This window comes from Homo sapiens, chromosome 12 (assembly GCF_000001405.40).
Source record: "Homo sapiens chromosome 12, GRCh38.p14 Primary Assembly".
Taxonomy (NCBI): Eukaryota; Metazoa; Chordata; class Mammalia; order Primates; family Hominidae; genus Homo; species Homo sapiens.
The window spans coordinates 123,735,001-123,757,500 of NC_000012.12; the positions used below are offsets into that span (position 1 = coordinate 123,735,001).

At 45.8% G+C, this 22,500-nt stretch overlaps 1 protein-coding gene across 4 annotated transcripts in view, besides 1 other annotated feature; it reads left to right on the top strand.

Annotated features, from left to right (window-relative positions):
- ATP6V0A2 (ATPase H+ transporting V0 subunit a2) overlaps window positions 1–22,500 on the top strand; it is a 49,403-nt gene that overhangs the window by 22,648 nt on the left and 4,255 nt on the right. For 2 of the 4 annotated variants that reach the window (NM_012463.4, XM_024448911.2), the window contains 12 exons: window positions 531–624; window positions 2,059–2,271; window positions 8,785–8,935; window positions 9,201–9,337; window positions 9,597–9,784; window positions 9,882–9,972; window positions 12,607–12,725; window positions 13,575–13,785; window positions 16,110–16,229; window positions 17,283–17,402; window positions 19,420–19,537; window positions 21,815–21,986. In NM_012463.4, the coding sequence (NP_036595.2) occupies window positions 531–624; window positions 2,059–2,271; window positions 8,785–8,935; window positions 9,201–9,337; window positions 9,597–9,784; window positions 9,882–9,972; window positions 12,607–12,725; window positions 13,575–13,785; window positions 16,110–16,229; window positions 17,283–17,402; window positions 19,420–19,537; window positions 21,815–21,986 (1,734 nt within the window). Of the gene's footprint in view, window positions 1–530; window positions 625–1,185; window positions 1,541–2,058; window positions 2,272–8,784; window positions 8,936–9,200; window positions 9,338–9,596; window positions 9,785–9,881; window positions 9,973–12,606; window positions 12,726–13,574; window positions 13,786–16,109; window positions 16,230–17,282; window positions 17,403–19,419; window positions 19,538–21,814; window positions 21,987–22,500 lie in introns of those variants that run through there. The other 2 variants (XM_024448912.2, XM_024448910.2) reach the window with 2 other exon arrangements.
- Window positions 13,246–14,445: an enhancer, noted in NCBI's record as "CDK7 strongly-dependent group 2 enhancer chr12:124232793-124233992 (GRCh37/hg19 assembly coordinates)". NCBI's record gives its function as "activates an origin of replication core promoter dependent on BRD2, BRD4, P300/CBP, MED14 and CDK7 cofactors, with strong dependence on CDK7, by STARR-seq in HCT116 cells {active_cell/tissue: HCT116}" and the evidence as "EXISTENCE:reporter gene assay evidence [ECO:0000049][PMID:35650434]".

The following is a 22,500-nucleotide window of genomic DNA, read 5'->3' on the forward strand; positions in this document are numbered from 1 at the left end:
GGTGGTCCGGGAATGGCTGCAGTTTGGGGACACAGCTCGTCATTCCCTCGTGCAGTCTGGGTGCCGAGTGGCTGAGTGGCCCTGAGAGGACCTGTCAAAGGCAACTGCTAGGAAGCCAGAGCTCTTTTCTCCTTTTGTTTTCGTGTGTGTGTGTGTGTGTGTGTGTCTGTGTGTGTCTGTTGTGTGTCTGTGTGTGTCTTTGTGTTTGTGTTTAAACCTGTTCAGTGATTCCCAGCCCAAGGACATTGTTGAATTTTAGGAAGCTGGAATTGGGAATGAGCTTCCAGGAATCATTGAGGGCAGGAGTGGAATTTGGATCCCAGAGGGAGTTTGCTAAATTTATCTCACTCAGCAGGTGCTTGTTGAGCATCTGTATGCACAGCCCGACCAAGGGCAGATGACTGCATCTGCACCCGTGTCTCCCAAACGGCTGCTTTCATTCCGTTTTGCCAGAAGATGTGCCGGGGAGGTGAACGTGTTTAGTTCTAGTGCTGACAGATGTGAGACTGTGTTCAACTCTTGTCTTCCAGCTACCACTGCCACGTGTACCCCTATCCAAACACAGCCGAGGAGCGGAGGGAGATCCAGGAGGGGCTGAACACCCGCATCCAGGATCTCTACACTGTGAGTAAGCTGGAAGTGGATTGCCTCTTTATCTGAGGGCTGCCAAACATTTACACGTATATTTTCTCTCTTTTTTAACATAGATAATATTGGTCGTAGACAAATCAAGATGTTCTAGTGAGATTGGAATGTTGCTTCCCTCCCTCCTCCCCATGGAAGTTTTATTTTAGCAACTTGTTAGGAACCTGAGTAGTAATGACAAGGCTTTAAAAAAAGATTCTGTGGTCACCTTTGATATGTTGGATGGTAATTCATTTTTCTTTTTCAGACAGGCTCTCGCTCTGTCGCCCAGGCTTGGAGTGCAGTGGCATAATCTCAGCTCACTGCAACCTCTGCCTCCTGGGTTCAAGCGATTCTCCTGCCTCAGCCTCCCAAGTAGCCGGAATTACAGTCACGCACCACCATGCCCGGCCAATTTTTGTATTTTTAGTAGAGACAGAGTTTCGCCATGTTGCCCAGGCTGGTCTAAAATTCCTGACCTCAAATGATCCGCCCACCTCAGCCTCCTAAAGTGCTGGGATTACAGGTGTGAGCCACCATGCTCAGCCTGGATTGTGATTCTTTTTTTTTTTTTTTTTTTTTTGAGGTGGAATCATGCTCTGTTGCCAGGCTGGAGTGCAGTGGTGCGATCATCTCAGCTCACTGCAATCTCTGCTTCCCAGGTTCAAGCAATTCTCCTGCCTCAGCCTCCCAAGTAGCTGGGATTATAGGCATGCGCCACCACACCCTGCTAATTTTTTTGTATTTTTAGTAGAGACGGGGTTTCACCATGTTGGCCAGGTTGGTCTCGATCTCCTGACCTCGTGATCCACCCGCCTCGGCCTCCCAGAGTGCTGGGATTACAGGTGTGAGCTACCGCCCCCGGTCTGGATTGTAATTCTTGATCACAAAAGACAAGCCAGCTCCAGTTAACATGGTGAGGGCATTATTTTACCAGTAGGATTTAAATTCATTTTTCTCTTGATGACAGTGAGGGTTCTTGTTGGCATGAAGTGTCCTTCTGACTCAGTTAAGCGAGAGGATTTCTTGGTAGGATGGGATGGGCGTTGGTGGCTCACAGGGTTGACAGGGGTGAGGCCAAGCTTGGGAATGGGTAGGAACCCAGGGAGCTTGCTGGATCCTGGTAGGCCATCACGCTGCCGCAGTGACAATGACGTCTAACCATTTCCTGTGCCCTAGGGTCATGTTCTCCAGAGGCAACCTCCCAAAAGAGGGCATCTGATTGATTGGGCTTAGATTTTTCTGCCCACCTCCGAGTGGTACTAGGGGCAGGGAGAAGGAAGGAATGGCTCCCTTAGCTGCCACCAGGATAGGCAGGTGCCTGGAATGATCCTCTGTCAATGGGGAGAAAGTCCTCTAAGGGAAGTCGGGTGCCAGGTGGACAGAAACAAAAACATGCCCACTCCACTGAAAGCCCCTGTTGTTCTTCCCCAGGTACTGCACAAAACCGAGGACTATTTGAGGCAAGTGCTATGTAAAGCCGCCGAGTCTGTCTACAGCCGTGTGATCCAGGTGAAGAAAATGAAGGCCATCTATCACATGCTGAACATGTGCAGCTTTGACGTGACCAACAAGTGCCTCATTGCTGAGGTCTGGTGTCCCGAGGCGGATCTGCAGGACCTGCGCCGGGCACTGGAGGAGGGCTCGGTAAGGCTGCCTTCCTCTCCTCTGCCAGGAACAGAAGAGAGACTGATGGAACTGATAAATTCAGAGAAAAAAAGGAAGTGAGAATTTCATAGAGTAATGAGAATGCAGTGTGTTGACTCTTCTTTTGTTTTTTTAAAATATTAATTAACAAAATTAAAATAGAGATGGGGTTTTGCTGTGTTGCCCAGGCTGGTCTCAAACTCCTGGCCCCGAGCGATCCTCCTGCCTCAGCCTCCCAAAGTGCTGGGATTACAGGTGTGAGCCACTGTGCCCAGCCTTGGCTCTGTTTTTGAACTGAAATTATGGTGAGCTGGTCATTCAAAGCTGTATGTGAGTACATGTGTTTTTAAATTGCTCTTTTGAGTAATTCATTCACATGGTGTAAAAGTGAAAAGAAATAAAAGAGTATGAAAGACACAGTGCAGTGGCTTCCTCCCACCCCATAGCCTTACTTGTCCACTTCCTCCACTCAAAGATAACCATTACTTCAGTTCTGTTATTTCTTTGAGTTTCTTAACTGTAGATAAGCAGATAGGAGTAGATATTATTTTTCTTTCTTTTTCTTCACAAAATGGCACTATTCATACTATTCTTTTCACTTAATAAAACTTCTCTATTTTTCTTATAACTATTTAATATTCTGTTGTGTGCATACCATGGTTTATTTAACTAGTTTTCTGGTCATTTAGGTAGTTTCCGCTTTTACAAATAGCACTATGATGTCAAATCTATTTGTAGGGTAAATTCCCAGAAATGGAATTACTGGACTGATTTTGATAGATGTTGTCAGCTATTGTATTTCTCTCATTGTGAGTGAAGGGGAATACCTTTTTTTTGTTTAAGAGCCTTTTGGCTGGGCACGGTGGCTCACGCCTGTAACCCCAGCACTTTGGGAGGCCGAGGCGGGTGGATCACGAGGTCAGGAGTTTGAGACCAGCCTGACCAACATGGTGAAACCCCATTTCTACTAAAAATACAAAATTAGCTGGGCGGGGTGGCACATGCCTGTAATCCCAGCTACTTGGGAGGCTGAGGCAGGAGAATTGCTTGAGGCGGAGGTTGTGGTGAGCCAAGATGGCGCCATTGCACTGCAGCCTGGGCAACAAGAGCAAAACTTTGTCTCAAAAAAAAAAAAAAGAGCGTTTTCAATTTTCTTTTTTTTGTGAACTATCTGTTCATATTCTGCAGCCATTTTCCATCGTATGTTGGCCTTTTTCTTACCAATTTCTGTTGGCTCCTGGTCTGTGACACCAGTAAGAATATTTTCCCCAGTTTGTCCCTCGTCTTTTGACTTAGGATGTTTCTGTTTGTTTATTTGTTTGTTTGTTTTGGCCATGCAGAAGTTTTTTGTTAAATATAGTTGAACTTATCCATCTTTGCTCTTACACCTTCCAGATTTTGAATCACAGGCTTTTCCCACTGCAAGGTTATAGTGTAATTCTTCCATGTTCCTGTGAGGTTTTTCTTCTACATTAAACTCAGATTTTGGTCATGGAAAGAACAGGTTTACATATTTCAAGTGACAGTTAAGGGAACACCTTTTTCATGAGTTTTTTGGTTATGTAACCTTGTCTCATTACATAATTCTGTGATGATACAAATGTAAAATATAATGTCCATTATGACATAAACATGAAATACCCAGTGCTGAGAAAGACAGCAACACATAAATAGTATTTTGTTATTTAGAGTAGGAACCACCTATTTGAGAGATAAACACAGATGATTCTTCTTTTACTGAGGTGACATCAGTTTGAGGGACATGACTAGTACTCCTGTTATAGGTGGTGTGTGTGCTGCTTTGTGACTTTCAAGGTGGCTGCATTCGATTCAGATCGAGCCCATGGTGCTGCTTCTGCCATCTCCTGCGTGCACATGCACTGGGGTCTCTTGAGAGCTGCGTATTAAGGTCTCAGTGACCACATGTCCACCTCCGGCTGCATAGCTGTTCTTTGCTCCGCTCGTGGGCACCGACTCTTCGTTTCCCGTCAAGGGTACTGAGCTCTCAGCCCACCTCTTACTGCTTATAGTCCCTGTCTCTTCGCTTTCCTCATCTGTCCTGTCCTGTGTTATTTTTCTCCATAAGTAGGTGACTGAGACGTTCTCCAGTGTTGATGAAAGCTGGCTCATCACCTGCATTCCCACACCTCATGAATCTGGCTCTTCACAGTTGCCTTGGTAGTCAGCTTGTGTCTACAGGATGCCTTTTTTTTCTGTCGCCAAGATTGAATTTGATCAGGTACACAGGGGTCTCACATGCAGAACTCCTAACAGGCTGTGCCAGGCGGAAGCGGGGAATCTCAGCCTCCAGCCTGCAGATCCCAGTTCTTGGGTTCACTTGGCTGCCTGAAGCTCTCTAGTCACTTGGCTGCCTGAAGCTCATTCCCTAGAGAAGCCTCAGAGAGGCTTGCAAGAATCATATTCTCTGAATTCTCATGTTGATCACAGTGGCTGTCTGCTGCTTTTTATAATTAGGAGTGAGTTTTTCTGGAAATAAAATTCTGGGCTCATTTTTTTCCCCCTTGAGTATCTTACACATGTTCCTCCATCTTGTTCTGGCACCTTGCTCCCAACAGAAAGCCTGATGTTAATCTAATTTTCTTTTCCTTGTAATTCATGTGGTTTTTTAGTTTAGTTTTTTGTTTTGTTTTGTCTAGAAAAATATCTTTTCTTTTTCTTTAAAGACCAGTGATTTTCAGCCTGGGCAACATGGTTAAACCGCATCTCTACAAAAAACTCAAAAGTCAGCCGGATGTGGTGATGCACCTGTAATCTCAGCTACTCTGGAGGCCGGGGTGGGAGGATCGCTTGAGCCTGGGAGGTTGAGGCTGCATTGCACTCCAGCCTGAGCAACAGAGCCAGACCTTGTCTCAAAAACAAACAAACAAACAAACAAACAAACAGTGATTTTACAGAATGTCTCTCTCTCTCTCTTTTTTTTTTTTTTTGGAGATAGAGTCTGGCTCTTTCGCCCACGCTGGAGTACAGTGGCATGATACTGGCTCACTGTGCAACCTCTGCCTCCCAGGTTCAAGTGATTCTCATGCCTCAGCCTCCCAAGTAGCTGGGACTAGAGGTCTGCACTACCATGCCTGGCTAATTTTTGTGTGTGTATTTTTAGTAGCGATGGGGTTTCATAATGTTGGCCAGGCTGGTCTGGAACTCCTGACCTCAAGTGATCCACCTGCCTTTACCTCCCAAAATGCTGGGATTACAGGCGTGAGCCATCGCGCCTGGCCCAGAATGTGTCTCTTAACGTGGTCTTTCTGTATGTTCTTTCAATATATAGTCTTTGGTGGTGGTTTTGTTAATTTCATAAACGTTCTCCTGAATTATAGTTTTTGGTATTTGCTCTACTGTCTTGCTTTGGTTTTCTTCTTTTAGGACCTCCTGTCATCTTTCAGTGGAACCTTCTTTGCTTATCTTCAGTATCTGTCACTTTCCTTTGAATCCTTTTTGTCTTTCGTTACTTCTTTTTGATTTGTAAGATTTCTCCTCTTCGCGCCTTCTGTTTCTCTTACGGCAGTATGAGGAAGGGTTCTTCACTTTTGTGTTCCTTCTAGTTTTGTCTTACTTCTGAAATAATTTCTTTCTTTTTTTCCTAATTCCTTCTTGAGTTCTGTTACCTCATTTCTGAGTCTTTTAAAATCTGATTCCTGGTGCTTTTTCCTGTCCTGTATTTTTTTTTTAATTCTTTTAACTCCTTTTGAAACAGTAAGTTACAATGGTTTTATTTGTTTTGTGGACATTCTTTCTGGCATCTTCTCACTGTCTGTGGGGATGGTATTCTACTCCTTGGCTTTTTTCTTCTTATGACCTTATGTAAGATTGGGCTTCTCCCTCCTCTTGCTCACTTTTAAATGAAATTAGACTTTTGAGGCTGGATGCGGTAACTCACGCTGGTAATCCCAGCACTCTGGAGGCTGAGGCGGGCGGATCACTTGAGTCCAGGAGTTTGAGACTAGCCTGGCCAACATGGCGAGACCCTGTCTCTACTAAAAAATACAAAAAATACACAATAGAAAAAAAATTAGCCAGGCATGGTGGCACGTGCCTGTTATCCCAGTTACTTGGAAGGCTGAGTCACGGGACTCCCTTGAACCCCAGAGGCGGAGGTTTAAAAAAAAAAAGATTTATGGAACATGGTGAAGATGCTTAGCTGCTCAAGGAAATTCATTTTTTAGACAAGGTCTCACTCTGTTTCCCAGGCTGGAGAACAGTGGTAATGGTCGTAGCTCACTGCAATCTCAAACTCCTGGGTTCAAGCAATCCTCCCGTCTCGTCTCAGCCTCCTGAGTAGCTGGAACTACAGGCATGCACTACTATGCCTGGCTAATTTATTTATTTATTTAGTTAGTTATTTATATTTTTTTGTAGAGATGGGGTCTCTACAAAAGACGGTGTCTGGTCTTGAACTCCTGGGCTTAAGTGACCCTCCTGTCTCAGCCTCCCAAAGTGCTGGGATGACAAGCATGAGCCACCATGCCTGTCCTGCTCAAGGAGATTCTATATTATTACACAAGCAATATAAATGTATATTTACATGAAAATAGTTTTCTGGCAGATGTTTATGGTACTCAAGGAACTTTTAGAAGATGGCAGGTTCAGGATAGCGATCCTAACCTCACTGATGGTTTTTTCTTTTTTTTATTTTTTGTGTACTGAATGCAAACACGTCGGGTCCTGGATCTGAGATGTCCTCTGTGTCTCTCTTGTGAACTCCTCTGTCTTTTCTCTTTCGTTCCTGTCCTGCTCAGTTTTGATCTCACTCCCAGCAGTTTCTCCTCAGCGTGTGGCCGCTCAACAGGGGAGGACCTGGCAGGTCAGTGCCGTGAGTTTAGGGACTGGGCTGCCCTGCCCCAACCCCTGCAGACTTCACTGCCCATGGCCCCTGTGCCGTCGCCTACTCTTGGACTGGACAGAACTCTTCCCAGTTCCAGCTGCTTTTTGTGGTTTGGCCTCCTCTGCTTTCCCAGGGAGGTTCTTTCTGGCCATTTTTGGTGTTGTTGGCCCAGGCCCCTTGGAGGCCACATTGCTTACTTGCATCCTCTGCTCTGGAGGCTGCTGGGTAGGTCTTGTAGCTGTTGGTGGTTTCCTCACCCATTTGTATTTTGGGGACTGTGGGGACGTGGTTTGGCTGTAAATGCCATCCGTAGGCTTTAGGTCTTGCTAGCTGGTTGCACTTTCTGTTCTGAAGGGGACTTGGGGACGTTCAAAGCTGTGCCACCCTCGAGAATTTCCCCAGAACCCCATTACATGCATACGTTTTAAGAGACACATTTTGGCCGGGTGCAGTGGCTCACTCCTATAATCCCAGCACTTTGGGAGGCCGAGGTGGGCAGATCACCTGAGGTTAGGAGTTCGAGACCAGCCTGGCTAACATGGTGAAACTCCGTCTCTACTAAAAATACAAAAACTAACCAGGCGTGGTGGTGTGCAATGTAATCCCAACTACTTGGGAGGCTGAGGCACGAGAATCGCTTGAACCTGGAAGGCAGAGGTTGCAGTGAGCCGAGATCACACCACTGCACTCCAGCCTGGGTGACAGAGCGAGACTCCTTCTTTAAAAAAAAAAAAAGACTTATTTTGACCAGAAAATCTACTATTCTGTCAATAACCTGTTTACCTTATTTTAAAAGTGTTTTCATTATAAATCAATATAATGCATTTCAGAAGAATTGCAAACACTGATGGATAAAGTTATATTTATGATTCTGCCATAATAGAATTCATGTTGACATTTTGGTTTATTCTTGCCTTTCTCATTTTTTTATTAAGTATATTGCAGTTGTCTCAAACTTCCTCTTTCTTCACCGTTTTTAAGAGATAAAGTACTCAGTGTCGGTTTTCTGTCAGTGACTGAGCCGACTCCATACCCACGTGCCCCGCATTCCCCAGCCCCCATTCACTTCCGGCGCATTCAGTCCTGCTCTCACCCTTCCTTCTTGGAGGCCACAGGCCCCAAGTGCCGCCCTTGCCACCCCCTGATTCCTCACAGATGGACTTTTCCTCCAGGCCCTCTGGCTGCTCTTGACCCTGTTGAGTGGAGATTAATCCTGCACCAAAGCCACACACACAGCGTTGCCAAAGCAGTAACACAAGGCTGGGCACGGTGCTCACACCTGTAATCCCAGCACATTGGGAGGCTGAGACAGGTGGATCACCTGAGGTCGGGAGTTCGAGACCAGCCTGACCTACATGGAGAAACCCCGTCTCTACTAAAAATACAAAATTAGACGGGCATGGTTGCATATGCCTGTAATCCCAGCTACTAGGGAGGCTGAGGCAGGGGAATCGCTTGAGCCTGGGAGGCAGAGGTTGCGGTGAGCCGAGATCACACCATTGCACTCCAGCCTGGGCAACAAGAGTGAAACTCCGTCTCAAAAAAAAACAAAACAAAACAACACCACCAAAAAAAACCAAAAAACAAAGCAGTAACCCAGATTCGTTGAATATGGATAGTTATTTTCTTCTTGGATAGTAATTTTTTATCTTTCCTTGTTTATGTGGAAGAGAGAGAGTGGTGCTACAATCCCCTCATTCATGAATATAATCCCCACAAAAGAAACACCCCCCACTCGGATCCGCACCAACAAATTCACCGAGGGATTTCAGAACATCGTGGATGCTTATGGAGTCGGAAGCTACAGAGAAGTCAATCCAGGTTGGAAGTCTGATTTGTAAATACCCGTATTTCCAATGGCATTGTTGCATTCTTGCTCTAAGAATGGAATAGATATTTGGAAAGAGAGGCTGACCATTACTTTTTTGCTATCTTATTTAAAAGTATAAGGTTTTAAATGTAACCACACAATCCTATCTTGTGAATTCTGGAGAAAGTCAAGATTGTTATGTATCATTGTGTTTGAATGAACTCAGGTTTTCCATATTTGCTGTGAATCAGAAATCTCTTTCCCTTTTTTCTGCAGCTCTCTTTACCATCATCACCTTCCCGTTTTTATTTGCTGTGATGTTTGGAGACTTCGGACATGGCTTTGTGATGTTTTTATTTGCCCTCTTGTTGGTGTTAAATGAAAATCATCCCAGACTAAATCAGTCACAAGAGGTAAAAATATAAACACTCCAGCTCATATATCTGGTTAGGTGGCATTAGCAGTGACCGAAAGAGAGACACCTCTTAGATGTTTGCTGTAGGCTGCGGCTGTGCTGGGCAGGTGTGTGGCCTGTCAGCTGCGGCTGACAGGGATGTCTGCGGGGCGAGGCTGTTTTCTGAGAAGTGAGTGGTGAGGGTCGTGCCCACACCGACAGCTGTCACATGGACACCCTCCAGTAACCATATTCTGCCCCCGCCTTGCCCTTCACAGATCATGAGGATGTTTTTTAATGGCCGGTACATCCTCCTGCTGATGGGGCTGTTCTCAGTGTACACTGGCCTCATCTACAACGACTGCTTTTCAAAGTCAGTCAACCTGTTCGGCTCTGGGTGGAACGTGTCGGCCATGTACAGCTCCAGCCACCCACCCGCAGAGCATAAGAAGATGGTGCTTTGGAAGTAAGTGTCCCATAGCTGGTGATGCTCTGGGTGGAAAGCATGTTTCCTAGACCTTCCTCCTCCCAGGTCAGCCTCCTCACTCTGCTTTTTGTTACAGTGACAGCGTCGTTAGACACAACAGCATTTTGCAGCTGGATCCAAGCATTCCTGGAGTGTTCCGAGGCCCTTATCCCCTTGGCATTGATCCTGTGAGTGCACCACGCTCTGTCGTTGTCTCTGGATGCTCTGTGGTGCCACCTAGCTTCGGGCGCCACGAGTTTCTCTAGACTGTTGAGCAGGGTTCACGCTGCCCTGAGCGGGAGGTGCTCATTAGCCCCTGTGCATCCCAGTCCCGGACACTGGGAGGGGAGGCCAGGAGCTGGGGGGCCCTCCGTTTGGGAAGGTGAGGTCAGAGGAAGTCCTCAGAGAGCCAGGGCTGTGTTCTGTCATGTGTCCTACCTATTTTCCTCTGGCTGAAAATGGCACTTCAGTAGCCCTGAAATGTGTGCCATTTCCTACATTTCTTCCTCGTATATGTGAACTTTTAAAAACCCTTGATCTCGAAAGAAATGGTATGGAGTGTTAGAGCTGAAAGGAAGCGTGAGGTTATTATGGTGCTTATTGGGGTAGTTGTTTGGAATGGGAAAAGTGTTAATAGAAAGAAAATGGGGAAGTACTCACGCCTGTAATTCCAGCACTTTGGGAGGCCGAGGCGGGCAGATCATGAGGTCAGGAGATTGAGACCATCCTGGCTAACACGGTGAAACCCCATCTCTACTAAAAATACAAAAAATTAGCTGGGTGTGGTGGCTGGCGCCTGTAGTCCCAGCTACTCAGGAGGCTGAGGCAGGAGAATGGCGTGAACCCAGGAGGCGAAGCTTGCAGTGAGCCGAGATGGTGCCATTGCACTCCAGCCTGGGCAACGGAGCGAGAGACTCTGTCTCAAAAAAAAAAAAAAAAGAAAATGGAGAAGTAGCCCCAGGGTGCCAGGACCCCCAACCCCTTCGAGGGCTCAGCAGGCGGTGGCTGAGGCAGTGGACTGCAGGGTTGGGTGGGGTTTTCCTGAGCTGTCAGGAGTCTTTCTGGAGAATCAAAAGAATGACTGAGAAACAATCTCAAAGTTGGTTTGTGGATGTAATTGTGTACAGTCGTTAAACTGAGCAAAAAAAGTCTAGCATTCCTTAACCTGGGCTCTCCAAGGAGGAAGTATCTCTTAGTGTGTTCTGTTTATTCTTATCTCTAATCATGATTGGTATAATTTCATGTTGTAGCATTAAGTCTTAATGTAATTGAAAACTTGGAAACACGGCTACAACAATTTCTTTAAGATACAGCATTTTGGAGCCAAATTCAGTAATAACTTGTAGCTTTGTGTTAAGGAAAGAAATATTTCTGAATAAGGGAACCAAGGAAGAAAGTTTGAGTGAGTTTTTTTTTTGGGAGGCATAGGGGAAAATTGGGGTATGGTTTTGTCTTCTTTCTGTTTTAACTTAATTTTAAACTAGGCATTACATTAATTTGGTTCAAAAGTAAACCAATGTGTGTACGTTATACATATAAAATACGTATTTTAAAATAATATATAAAAGTATGTATAATATAAATATATCAGCGAAGTTGACTGGCCTCCAACTTCTCAGCCCTGAATACCTCATTCTAAAATCTTATTTTTGCAAGGGCAAAATGAGATAGTTCAGGGCTAGGAACTGGGAGGCTAGAAATTTTAAAATTAGCTGGGAGTGGTGGTGCGTGCCTGTGGTCCCAGCTTCTCGGAAGGCTGAGGTGGGAAGATTGCTTGAGCCAGGTCAAGGCTGCAGTGAGCCCTGATTGCTCCACTGTACTCTAGCCCCTGGGCAGCAGTGAGACCCCTTACCTTAAAAAAAAAAAAAAAAAAAAAAAAAGGTTGGGCGCGGTGGCTCACACCTATAATCTCAGCACTTTGGGAGGCCGAGGCAGGCGGATCACCTGAGGTCAGGAGTTTGAGACCAGTTTGGCCAACATGGCGAAACCCTTTCTCTACTAAAAATACAAAAATCAGCCAGGCATGCTGGTCCAGCTACTCAGGAGGCTGAGGCAGGAGAATCGCTTGAACCCAGGAGGTGGAGGTTGCAGTGAACCAAGATTGCGCCACTGCACTCCAGCCTGGTTGACAGAGCGAGACTCCTCAAAAAAAAAAAAATTATCTTAATAGACCCTGTTTCCCTTTTCCTAACCCACCTGAAGGGCAGGCTGTAGGAATTAATTTTCAGACAGTAAGAGAAGCAGTCAATGAGTGGGGAAGTTACGGGGACTCAGACTGGCCGGGGCACCGTGGGGAGGTCAGCCATGGTCTGGAGTCCCTCTTGGCACATCTTGGGTTGGCCACTTGCACCATTTCTGATTTCATTGTATTCACAGCTAAACTTTATGACAAAATAGACATACAGGAGCATGTATGGCACATGTATGTAAATGTGTGATAACACATGTATGTCTCCTGCCCAGGTAGAGGGGACATAACCCAGGACCTTGAGAGCATCCTGACCCTTCCAGTCTCTGAGCTGTGTGTGACTCTCCCTTGCCTTGCCTTTTGTCAAGACTTCCTAGGCACATCTCCCTAAACGCTATGTGGTTCCATCTGGCACCCTTTGACGTTAACACCGATAAAATTGTTTTGTAATTGTCTGTGGCCCTGGTTTAAGGAAATCAATGGTTCTCAGATTGAAAGCATCAAAAGAAAAGCCTGAATATTGTTTCCTTCTTAAACTTAGAGCCACCTTTCAAGTTAAGACAGGAACTTTCTTGAGTGTCACCTGTTGAAGGAAGTTAAAGATTCTGTTTTGTCTTGTTTGGTTTGGTTTTAGATTTGGAACTTGGCCACAAATCGCCTCACTTTTCTAAACTCTTTCAAAATGAAAATGTCCGTGATTTTAGGAATCATTCATATGACTTTTGGAGTCATTCTGGGAATATTTAACCACTTGTAAGTACAGATTTTTTTTTAAGCAATATTTATAAACCAAACTTGGCATTTCTTCAATTTTGCTTCTTGTTGGTGACTGTATTTATTGGGTAAGGGGCAGCCAATATGATGTTGTATTTACATGATTCTGTTGAAGTTATTTAGATTTTCTGTGGTTTCAGCAATTCATTCAGCAAATATGTATTTATCGAGCGCATAGTAGTGCCAAGTGCTGTTCTAGGCACTAGGAGTTCAGCAGTGAGGAGGGCAGAAAAAAGTTGTTGCCCCAGTGGAGCTTCCATTCAAGTGAGGGAGACATGTGACATGTGCATTCATGTCGATTTCCAGAAGGGGTGCTTGCCATATTCCTTTTTTATTTTACAAATAAAAAATCTTTTTGTTTTTACTTTATTAGAGCTAGTATATGAAGAGTAAGAGATGGTGTCATTTTTCTCTAACTAGACCTGTTCATTCTGATCTCTAAACATAATTTGTATAATTTGATGCTGTAGCTTGAAGTCACTATAACAGGAGTCTTGAAAAACTTGTAACAATGTAAGACACAGCATTTTGGAGCCAGATTCACTAATATTGTGTAGCCTTACTTTAAGGAAGGAAATGTTTCTGAATAAGGGAACTAAGGAAGAAAGTTTGAGTGAGATTTGACCGCAAAAACTGTAGTAGTTTTGGCCGACCTCACGTCTCTTCCTCGTAGATGTATCTGGACACTCAGATGTATCTGGATTCATCATATGAGAAATGATGTTATTCTGAAATTCGCTTTATAGTTTAGTTGCAGAGAGTTTAATTTACTCTTTTTAACTTAGGCTGATCTTGTTCGTGGGTTGATTGATTCCTTTTCTTTCCTAGGCACTTCAGGAAGAAGTTCAACATTTACCTGGTTTCCATCCCGGAACTTCTCTTCATGCTCTGTATCTTTGGATACCTTATATTTATGATTTTCTACAAGTGGCTGGTTTTTTCAGCAGAAACCTCCAGAGTTGCTCCCAGCATTCTGATTGAATTTATTAACATGTTTTTATTCCCAGCCAGTAAAACAAGTGGCCTTTACACAGGGCAGGTGAGTCATCTTCCCACCCTCATGAACTTAACGGAAGTATTCCCAATAGTCTTTTATTCTGAGCAGTAGAAGTGTTGGGGTGATCTCCACAGGAGCCTGGGAAGGCTGCTTCTGTCTCTGCATGTGTCATCACTGGAGGATGCCAGTCCAGCTTGACCGCTGTGTGCAGGCAGCATGACCAAACTCGCTGCCACTCAGTAGCCATCAAAACGAGTAGGAAGAGGCCAGGCATAGTGGCTCATTTCTGTAATCCCAGCACTTTGAGAGACCAAGGCTGGCGGATTGCTTGAGCCCGTGAGTTCGAGACCAGCCTGGGCAACACAGCAAGACCTCATCTCTACAAAAAACACAAAAATTTGTCAGGCATGATGGCTGCACCTGTAGTCCGAGCTACTTGGGAAGCTGAGGCAGGAGGATCGCTTGAGCCCAGGAGGTCCAGGCTGCAGTGAGCCATAACTGCACCACTGCACTCCAGCCTGGGTGACAGAGCAAGACCCTGTCTCAAACCAAAACCAACAAAACTGGTGGGAAGAAAATGCATTACCAGAGGGATCCTGAGGGCTGCCCAGTCCCCCCATTTAGAAGGGACCACCTGGATCACAGCACATGGACCCTTTCAAAAAATGAGCTTTCCTCTCACTGTGCGTTTGTGTGCTGTCACAGTGGGCTCTAAGGGCTGACTGCTCTGCTTGGAGGCCCCGCTCTGCTGTTTCCTCAGGATGGAGCTTTGAGCAGATGACTAACTTCTCTCTGCCTCAGTTTCCTCATCTGTAAAATGGGACTAAAAACAGGAGCTGGTTCATAGTATAGCGCACGTGTCCAAAGTGCGTACGAACGTGCTTGCACAATCCAGCTACTCAGTAAATGTCAGCATTTGCCATAGTTCTTACCCACCTTACATTGAGGGTCTTTCTGCTGTGAGCGCCACGGCATCTCCTGCCCACGGATGCTGGTCCAGACATGGCTCACCACGTTGTAAAGTGTCTGTGAGGACATCTGGGGAAACCCTCCCAGTCGGTAGTATCAGAGCCTGTGTTCCTCCTGAGCCGTGTTTTGGTTTTTCATCGTGTTGACCTGTGAATGGAGCATTTGGTTTTGTTTTTCACATTCTATTGGGTGCTGGAAAGTTTTAAGTCAGATTTGAAGCTCAACTTAACGGAACTTTGGCCTCGTTGACGAGATGCATATTTGCGTTCTTTTTGAACTTTTTGTTTCTGTTTTTTTTTGGTTTCTCTTGTTTATGATTTTTAAGAATTGTATTTTATCATTATTTTATTGAAGCTTTGTACAATGGCATAGATACCACAGATAAATGCAGGGGCGTTCAGTGGGCACAGGTGCTATGGACAGAAAGATCAAGGAAGGGCAGCTACCTTTCTTTACTACCTGCCGCATACCTGAGAGTGTGCTTTCCTTACTTAGTGTTTCTTAATTCTCACAACAGCCCCAGGAGGTAGGTGTGTCATCCCCTGTTACTGGTGATAACTGGTGGCTCAGGGCAGTCCTGGTCACTCAGCGGTCTGTAGGGCCAGGCTGTTAACCTAGGTCAGCCTGGCTCCAGCCCAGGACTTCTGATGTGGCTCTGCCTGTGGCCGCCACCTTTCTCGGCATTTCAAGAGGTTCATCCTGTTGATGGTGTGTAGATAATACAGCTTTGTGCCTGAGTAGCACACAGAGCTCTAGGAACCTGTTTTTGGTGAGGGGCGACCATACAGAGTGATAAGCTTGGACAGCACAGTGTCCCGTCCAAACCCTGGGAAGCCATGCAGACTGCCGTGGCTGTGTAAGCCTGAGTGGATTTTGCTTTTGATTTAGCTTTAAGTAACTATAAATCTTCGTTTTTCTAAGGAAGTGTTTTTGGTTTTGTTCTGAATTCTCTTCCACGATTTTCTGTGTGTGGAGGTAAATCCACTTGCTGATTCACACTCATAGTCCTCAGACGGTCTTTATAATCATCAAAGAACAGGAAAACAGAACCAAGAATATACAAAATATTCTGCTTGTGCTTATACTTTCTCATTTACAGTGTTTACAGAAAATGATTAGTTGGAGTTTGACTCTCTTTAGAATTTTTGTAAAGTTTCCTTGCTGGTCTAAAACAAAATAATACTTTACCACAGGGTCATTAATGTTATTCATCAGTTCTAGAATTCAGCTATGAGTTTAGGAAAAGAAAACCCGCTGGCAAGTGTAGCTGGCTGGCATTTATTGAATGTTCCTCGCGTGGAGACATTGTTCGATCTTTCCTGATTTCATCGTGTGCTGCTGACCCTGCAGGCAGGCCTTCACGTTTTAATCGGGTTTCTCACCTTCTGCACTAACAGGAGTATGTCCAGAGAGTGCTGCTGGTTGTCACAGCATTGTCTGTCCCTGTCCTCTTCTTGGGAAAGCCACTGTTTTTGTTGTGGCTTCACAATGGGCGTAGTTGCTTCGGGGTGAACCGGGTAAGTGCGGGTTTGGATGCATTTACAACTGTGAGCAAAGCTTGCTTTCGGTTATACAAGGATTGGTGTAGAAAACACCTCCTGGAGGGTCCCTGTCTCTTGATTTAAAAGCCAAAGCTCCCTTTATTTAAAACATTGATGTTGGCTGGGTGTGGTGGCTCACACCTATAATCCCAGCACTTTGGGAGGCCAAAGCGGGCAGATCACTTGAGCCCAGGAGTTTGAGACCAGCCTGGGCAACATGGCGAAACCCTGTCTCTACCAAGAATACAAAAATAAGCCGGTGTGGTGGTGTGCACCTTTAGTCCCAGGTACTCGGGAGGCTGAGGTGGAAGGATGGCTTGAGCCTGGGAGGCAGAGGTTGCAGTGAGTTGTGATCACGCCACTGCACTCCAGCCTGGGCAACAGAGCAAGACTCTGTCTCAAAATAAATAAGTAAATGAAACATTGATGTTGAAAGAGCCTGCTGTGTCCAGGGCCTGTGGAGACCCGCCCTGGTATGAACTACAAGCTTATTAGGGGTTTAACTCAGTCCTTCAGTTCAGATGGGCACAATTTAAATGCCTTTTTCCATATTCGTCTTAATTTCTTCTTTAAGATTTTCTTTTTTCTTTTCTTTTCTTTCTTTCTTTCTTTTTTTTTTTTTTTGAGACTGGAGTCTTCGTCTGTTGCCCAGGCTGGAGTGCAGTGGCACTATCTCAGCTTACTGCAACCTCTGCCCTCCGGGTTCAAGCAATTCTCTTGCCTCAGCCCTCAAATAGGGGGACTACAGGCGCCCGCCACCACGCCCTGCTAATTTTTGTATTTTTTGTAAAAGACGGGGTTTTGCCATGTTGCACAGGCTGGTCTTGAACTCCTGACCTCAGGTGATTCACCTGCCTCGGCTTCCCAAAGTGCTGTGATTACAGGTGTGAGCCACTGTGCCTAGCCTAAAGAACTTTTTTATTCTCAAAGAGCTGAATCATTAAGAGAAACAAAGAAACTATACAAGTTTGGTTTTGTCACAACCTTGTGGTTTTACAGGCACTGACTCTGTGCTCTTTTGGTTGTTAGAGTGGCTACACACTTATAAGGAAAGATAGTGAGGAAGAAGTTTCATTGCTGGGAAGCCAAGATATAGAAGAGGGAAATCACCAGGTGGAAGATGGATGTAGAGAAATGGCGTGTGAAGAGGTAAATCTTTTCAACTGCTATTGATAAACTTAGATAAGTAACCAAGCTTCCATAGAGATAATCATGTTAAGATAATATTTAATCATCTTAAAAAATGGTTAAGAAAATGGGACTTCCAGCCTCCACAACTATGAGAAACCAGCGCTTTCCAAATGCTGTTTGATGATAGAGTTGGTGGCATTATATGAGTTCGGGTCATTTTGTCCTTTCACTTCGCCAGTGGGATTTCTGCTGTTATATTAAGAGTTATGATTGGAGTGACTTAAGGTGCCATGAACATTGCTTTCAGAAGCTTCTTGGGTCAGTCAGAACTTTTCCATAGTTGCAAGAAATAGAGACCCAGTTTTTTCTGATTGCGAAGGGATTTTACTGGCTCATGGCAGGACAGAGGTAGAGTTGGTTTCAGGATAATTACAGTTTTGGGGTCTCCAATTCCAAGAGGCCTTGGTTGGCTTTTTTTCTTTGTAAGTTTTCTTTATATTGTGAAGTCAGTTGGCCCCATGATGCTAGAACCATGGTCACAAGTTGCCCTGGGCTTATTTTTTCAGTCTTTCCATTAGAGAGCAAAGCGCCCTTACCAGCTTGTTACTATTAGGAAAGAATCCCCAAATACCTGCCATCCCTGGACCAGTGACTGCTGCCTCAGTCCCCTTTACGAGTGACCGCTGCCTCAGTCCCCTTCACCAGTGACTGCTGCCTGAGTCCCCTGGACCGGTGTCTGCTCAGTCTCCCTTACCAGTGACCACTGTGTCAGTCCCCTTTACCAGTGACTGCTGCCTGAGTCCCCTGGACCGGTGTCTGCTCAGTCTCCCTTACCAGTGACCACTGTGTCAGTCCCCTTTACCAGTGACTGCTGCCTTAGTCCCCTTTACCAATGACTGCGTTCTCAGTCCCCTGGACCAGTGACTGCTATCTTAGTCCGCTGGGGCTGCCATAACAAAATACCACGGACTGGGTGGCTTCAACAAGAGACTTGTTTCTCACAGCCCCGGAGGCTGGCAGGCCCGGACTGAGATGCTGGCAGGCTGCTTTCCCCTGAGGCCTCCCTGCTCAGCTTGCTGTGTCGGCACAGGGCCTTTCCTCTGTGCCTGCACCCCTGTTTCTCCTGCTCTTCCCAGAAGACAGTAGTCACAGTGGGTCAGGGCCCACCTCCTGACCTCACTCAACCTTGATTACCTCCTCAAAGGTTCTGTCTTCAAATACAGTCACATTGCGGTTAGGGCTTCAGCATAAGACTTTTGGGAACATAATTCAGAGCCAGTGTGGTTGGGGGTACGAGGCTGGACAGGGAAGTAGCGGCTCCCCGCAAAGAACAGAGGTGCAGTCCCAGGAAGACAGCAGAGCATGGCCTCCTTTCTTTTCATGGAAACTTTATTTTGGCCATTTAGTGAGGACCAAACAAAATGTCTTATAATCAACATTTTGTAATTATTATGTAATTTCGTGTTTTAATTCGGGACAATTAATAATTAAGTTCTAGGATCATAGAGAAACAAAAGCAGAGCTGGAAAGCGCATGAGAGTCACCTTGCCTGGTGCTTTGCAGCCCTTTCCCTGTCAGGGGCCCCTTGCATAGTTTTCCCTGGTTGGCTCTACTTAGAATGCTCACATCTAGTGAATCGCAGTCTACTCTTAGGGTTGGTGAATACCTATTTTATCAGTAGATGTTTCATAATTACTGAGACCTGCCCCAGAATCCCATTAGTATAGCAGCTGTGGCCACGGCAGTTCCTCTGGTCTACCTTCTTGGTTTACACAGGGGAGTCTGAGGCGTGCGGTGGGAGTGGGGCTGATGAAGGTGGGGATTTGGGGTGGTAAAGTCTGGTCATGGAGCTGGGTAGTGGCAGAGTGGTGAACAGAGTGCGTCTGGGGTTTCTGTTCCTCACACTCTAGCGTGTTCTTACCAGCATCCAGCCGGCAGCTCTTTCATTGTAATCCTTGAAGTGGAACCCACTTGGCATGTAGAAGTACACATGTAACATCATGACTCTTAACATATGTTGTGTGATCTCTCTCAGTTTAATTTTGGAGAAATATTAATGACCCAAGTAATCCATTCCATCGAGTACTGTCTGGGATGCATCTCCAACACCGCCTCCTACCTGAGGCTCTGGGCGCTTAGCCTGGCTCACGCACGTAAGTTCCTGCTTAGACCTGCAGTTCCCAATGCCCTGTAGTGCCAGCAGACTCAGGGGGCACTGTGGGATATTTTAACTTTGTAACTAATAGTCATAGCACCATCTTTCAGCTGCCACGTGAACTTACACTATTCACTACTTAATACACAGCTCTCTTGGCTATTTCTTTTGGCTGAGGAGTGCTGTGGAAAAATCACAGAGGGAGTCTCTCTGAGGCTGGTCTGGCTTCAGAGCCTGCCCAATTTAAAAAAAAAATCACTGAGACACAAGGGGCTTTGAGAACTGAGACGGCTTGGGAGCCTCTGGTGTAAGCACTTGCTACTGTTGCCATTACTGTTTCTGTTAGTAGTTATTTCATTCACTGCTGCCTTACCAAGTGTGAATATCTGTTTATTTCAAGCAAGTCCTGCCACAGCACTCATGGGTAGCCTTGATCACAGGAGTCCTCCCTTTGCACAATTCCAGTAATGCACACATGTTAGTTTCCACAGTGTAGTTAACACCTGTTCCCCAGCAGCATGGTTCCCATTTCAGTCACCACAGTACCTAGCCGTGCAGTTAGGTGCAGGTGCATTTACCAGCCTACGTGCGGCAGGTGTCGTGATGAAGATGCTGATAACCCACCAGTGGTGCTCGGCAATGTTTCAGGACGTTGAAGGTTTGTGCAAAGGGTGCAATGTTGCAAGTGGGTTCAGACGTAGAAAAGAATAGGACAGGCCAGGCACAGTGGCTCACACCTGTAATCCCAGCACTTTGGGGGGCCCGAGGCAGGTGGATCACCTGAGGTCAGGAGTTTGACACCAGTCTGACCAGCATGGCAAAACCATCTCTACTAAAAATACAAAAATTAGCTGGTTGTGGTGGCGGGCGCCTGTAGTCCCAGCTACTCAGGAGGCTGAGGCAGGAGAATTGATTGAACTTAGGAGGCGGAGGTTGCAGTGAGCCAAGATCACATCACTGCATTCCAGCCTGGGTGACAGACCGAGACTCTGTCTCAAAAAAAAAAAAAAGCTAAAAAAAAAAAAAAATAGGACAATTTGGCAAGTATTAGGAAAGATGCTTGCTCTGCATCAGGTCACCCAGCTTGCCAATTTACACAGCAGGAACCAAGCACTGTTCAAACTACCCTAATAAACTTTTTTTTTTTTTTAAATAACAGACAAAAGACTTTAATACTCAGTGCTTCTAATGTTTCAAAGATAGATTTACCATTTTTTCATTTCCCTATATTTTTTGTTAAAACATTAATAACTCTCTTATTAGCTGGGTGCTGTGGCTCACGCCTGTAATCCCAGCACTTTGGGAGGCCTAGGCGGGCGGATCATGAGGTCAGGAGATCGAGACCATCCTGGCTAACACGTGAAACCCTGTCTCTACTAAAAATACAAAAAATTAGCCGGGCGTGGTGGCGGGCGCCTGTAGTCCCAGCTACTCAGGAGGCTGAGGCAGGAGAATGGTGTGAACCCGGGAGACAGAGCTTGCAGTGAGCCGAGATCATGCCACTGCACTCCAGCCTGGGCGACAGAGCGAGACTCTGTCTCAAAAAAAAAAAAAAAAAAACCGAAAAACAACTCTCTTATTGTTGGCCAACAATATAGCCAACAATAAGAGAGTTTTTAATGTTTTAACAACAATTTTAAAGGCCACAGAGCAAACCATTTTTCCCATGGATTAATAGGGATGCTTCGGATGGTTTTGATTGCAAGGTCTTTACTGTGCAAAGCAAGCACTGCCTGTGCTTGTGGAAACCACCGGACAAGAGGGTGTCTTTTTTTTTTTTTTTTTTTTAGTTAAAAAAAAATGCTTATGTTTTTATAAGCATAGCCAAAGGTCTGGAATTTTGTGGCTGGAGGGGCCCTGTCTCGTTCATCTCCATTTTGCAGAGGTGGTGACTGAAGCCACTGAGTGTCGGTGCTTTACTCATGGTCATCCAGTTGATCCCTCAGTGGCAGAACCAGGCCTGGGAGCCTGTTTCTGGCTGCCTGGTCCAGTGCGCTTTGGGAGGTCACAACCCAAACCTAGTCTGGGGCAAGACCTCCCTTTGGGAGATGGCCTCTGATATTTTTGGAGCACCAGGTCTTCCTTAGTGTTTGAGACCGTCTCGGAGCTGACTGGCTTTCACATGAGAAACAGTTGGGTCTGTGTTACATGTGTGTCTATTATTTTATGGGATAATAGTTCAGGGCCGTCAGGGGGAAACTCAGTCCAGGTAGCTCACAGAGGGACCCACTGTACATAAGCGAGCATGACCTGTGCAGGCTGCACTCCTTTGCAGAGTTGTCTGATGTCCTGTGGGCCATGCTGATGCGCGTGGGCCTCCGCGTTGACACCACCTATGGCGTCTTGCTACTGCTCCCGGTTATCGCGCTCTTTGCAGTTTTGACCATTTTCATCCTTCTGATCATGGAAGGGCTTTCTGCGTTTCTTCACGCCATACGCCTCCACTGGTGAGTTTGAAACCTAGCCTTGGAGCTGTTATTTAAAAAACATACCCGCCCCCCCACTGCCCCGCCCAACCAAATATACACAGCCCCTGCAAAATCTAATGCTGAATTTAGGCCAGTTCTTCCCTTCCCTTGGGATCTGTGTTCATATCCTCTGAGTTAAAATTGTATTTTGGGCCGGGTGCGGTGGCTCATGCCGGTAATCCTGGCACTTTGGGAGGCCAAGGCAGGTGGATCACGTGAGGTCAGGAGTTCAAGACCAGCCTGGACAACATGATGAAACCCTGTCTCTACTAATAATACAAAAATTAGCTGGGTGTGGTGTCGTGCGCCTATAATACCAGCTTCTTGGGAGACTGAGGCAGGAGAATTGCTTGAACCCAGCAGGCAGAGGTTGCAGTGAGCCGAGATCATGCCATTTTACTCCAGCCTGGGGGACGAGCGAAACTCTGTGTCAAAAAAAAAAAATGTATTTTGATTCTGAACTATTATCACTGACAAGTAAAAGTAAGTTTAA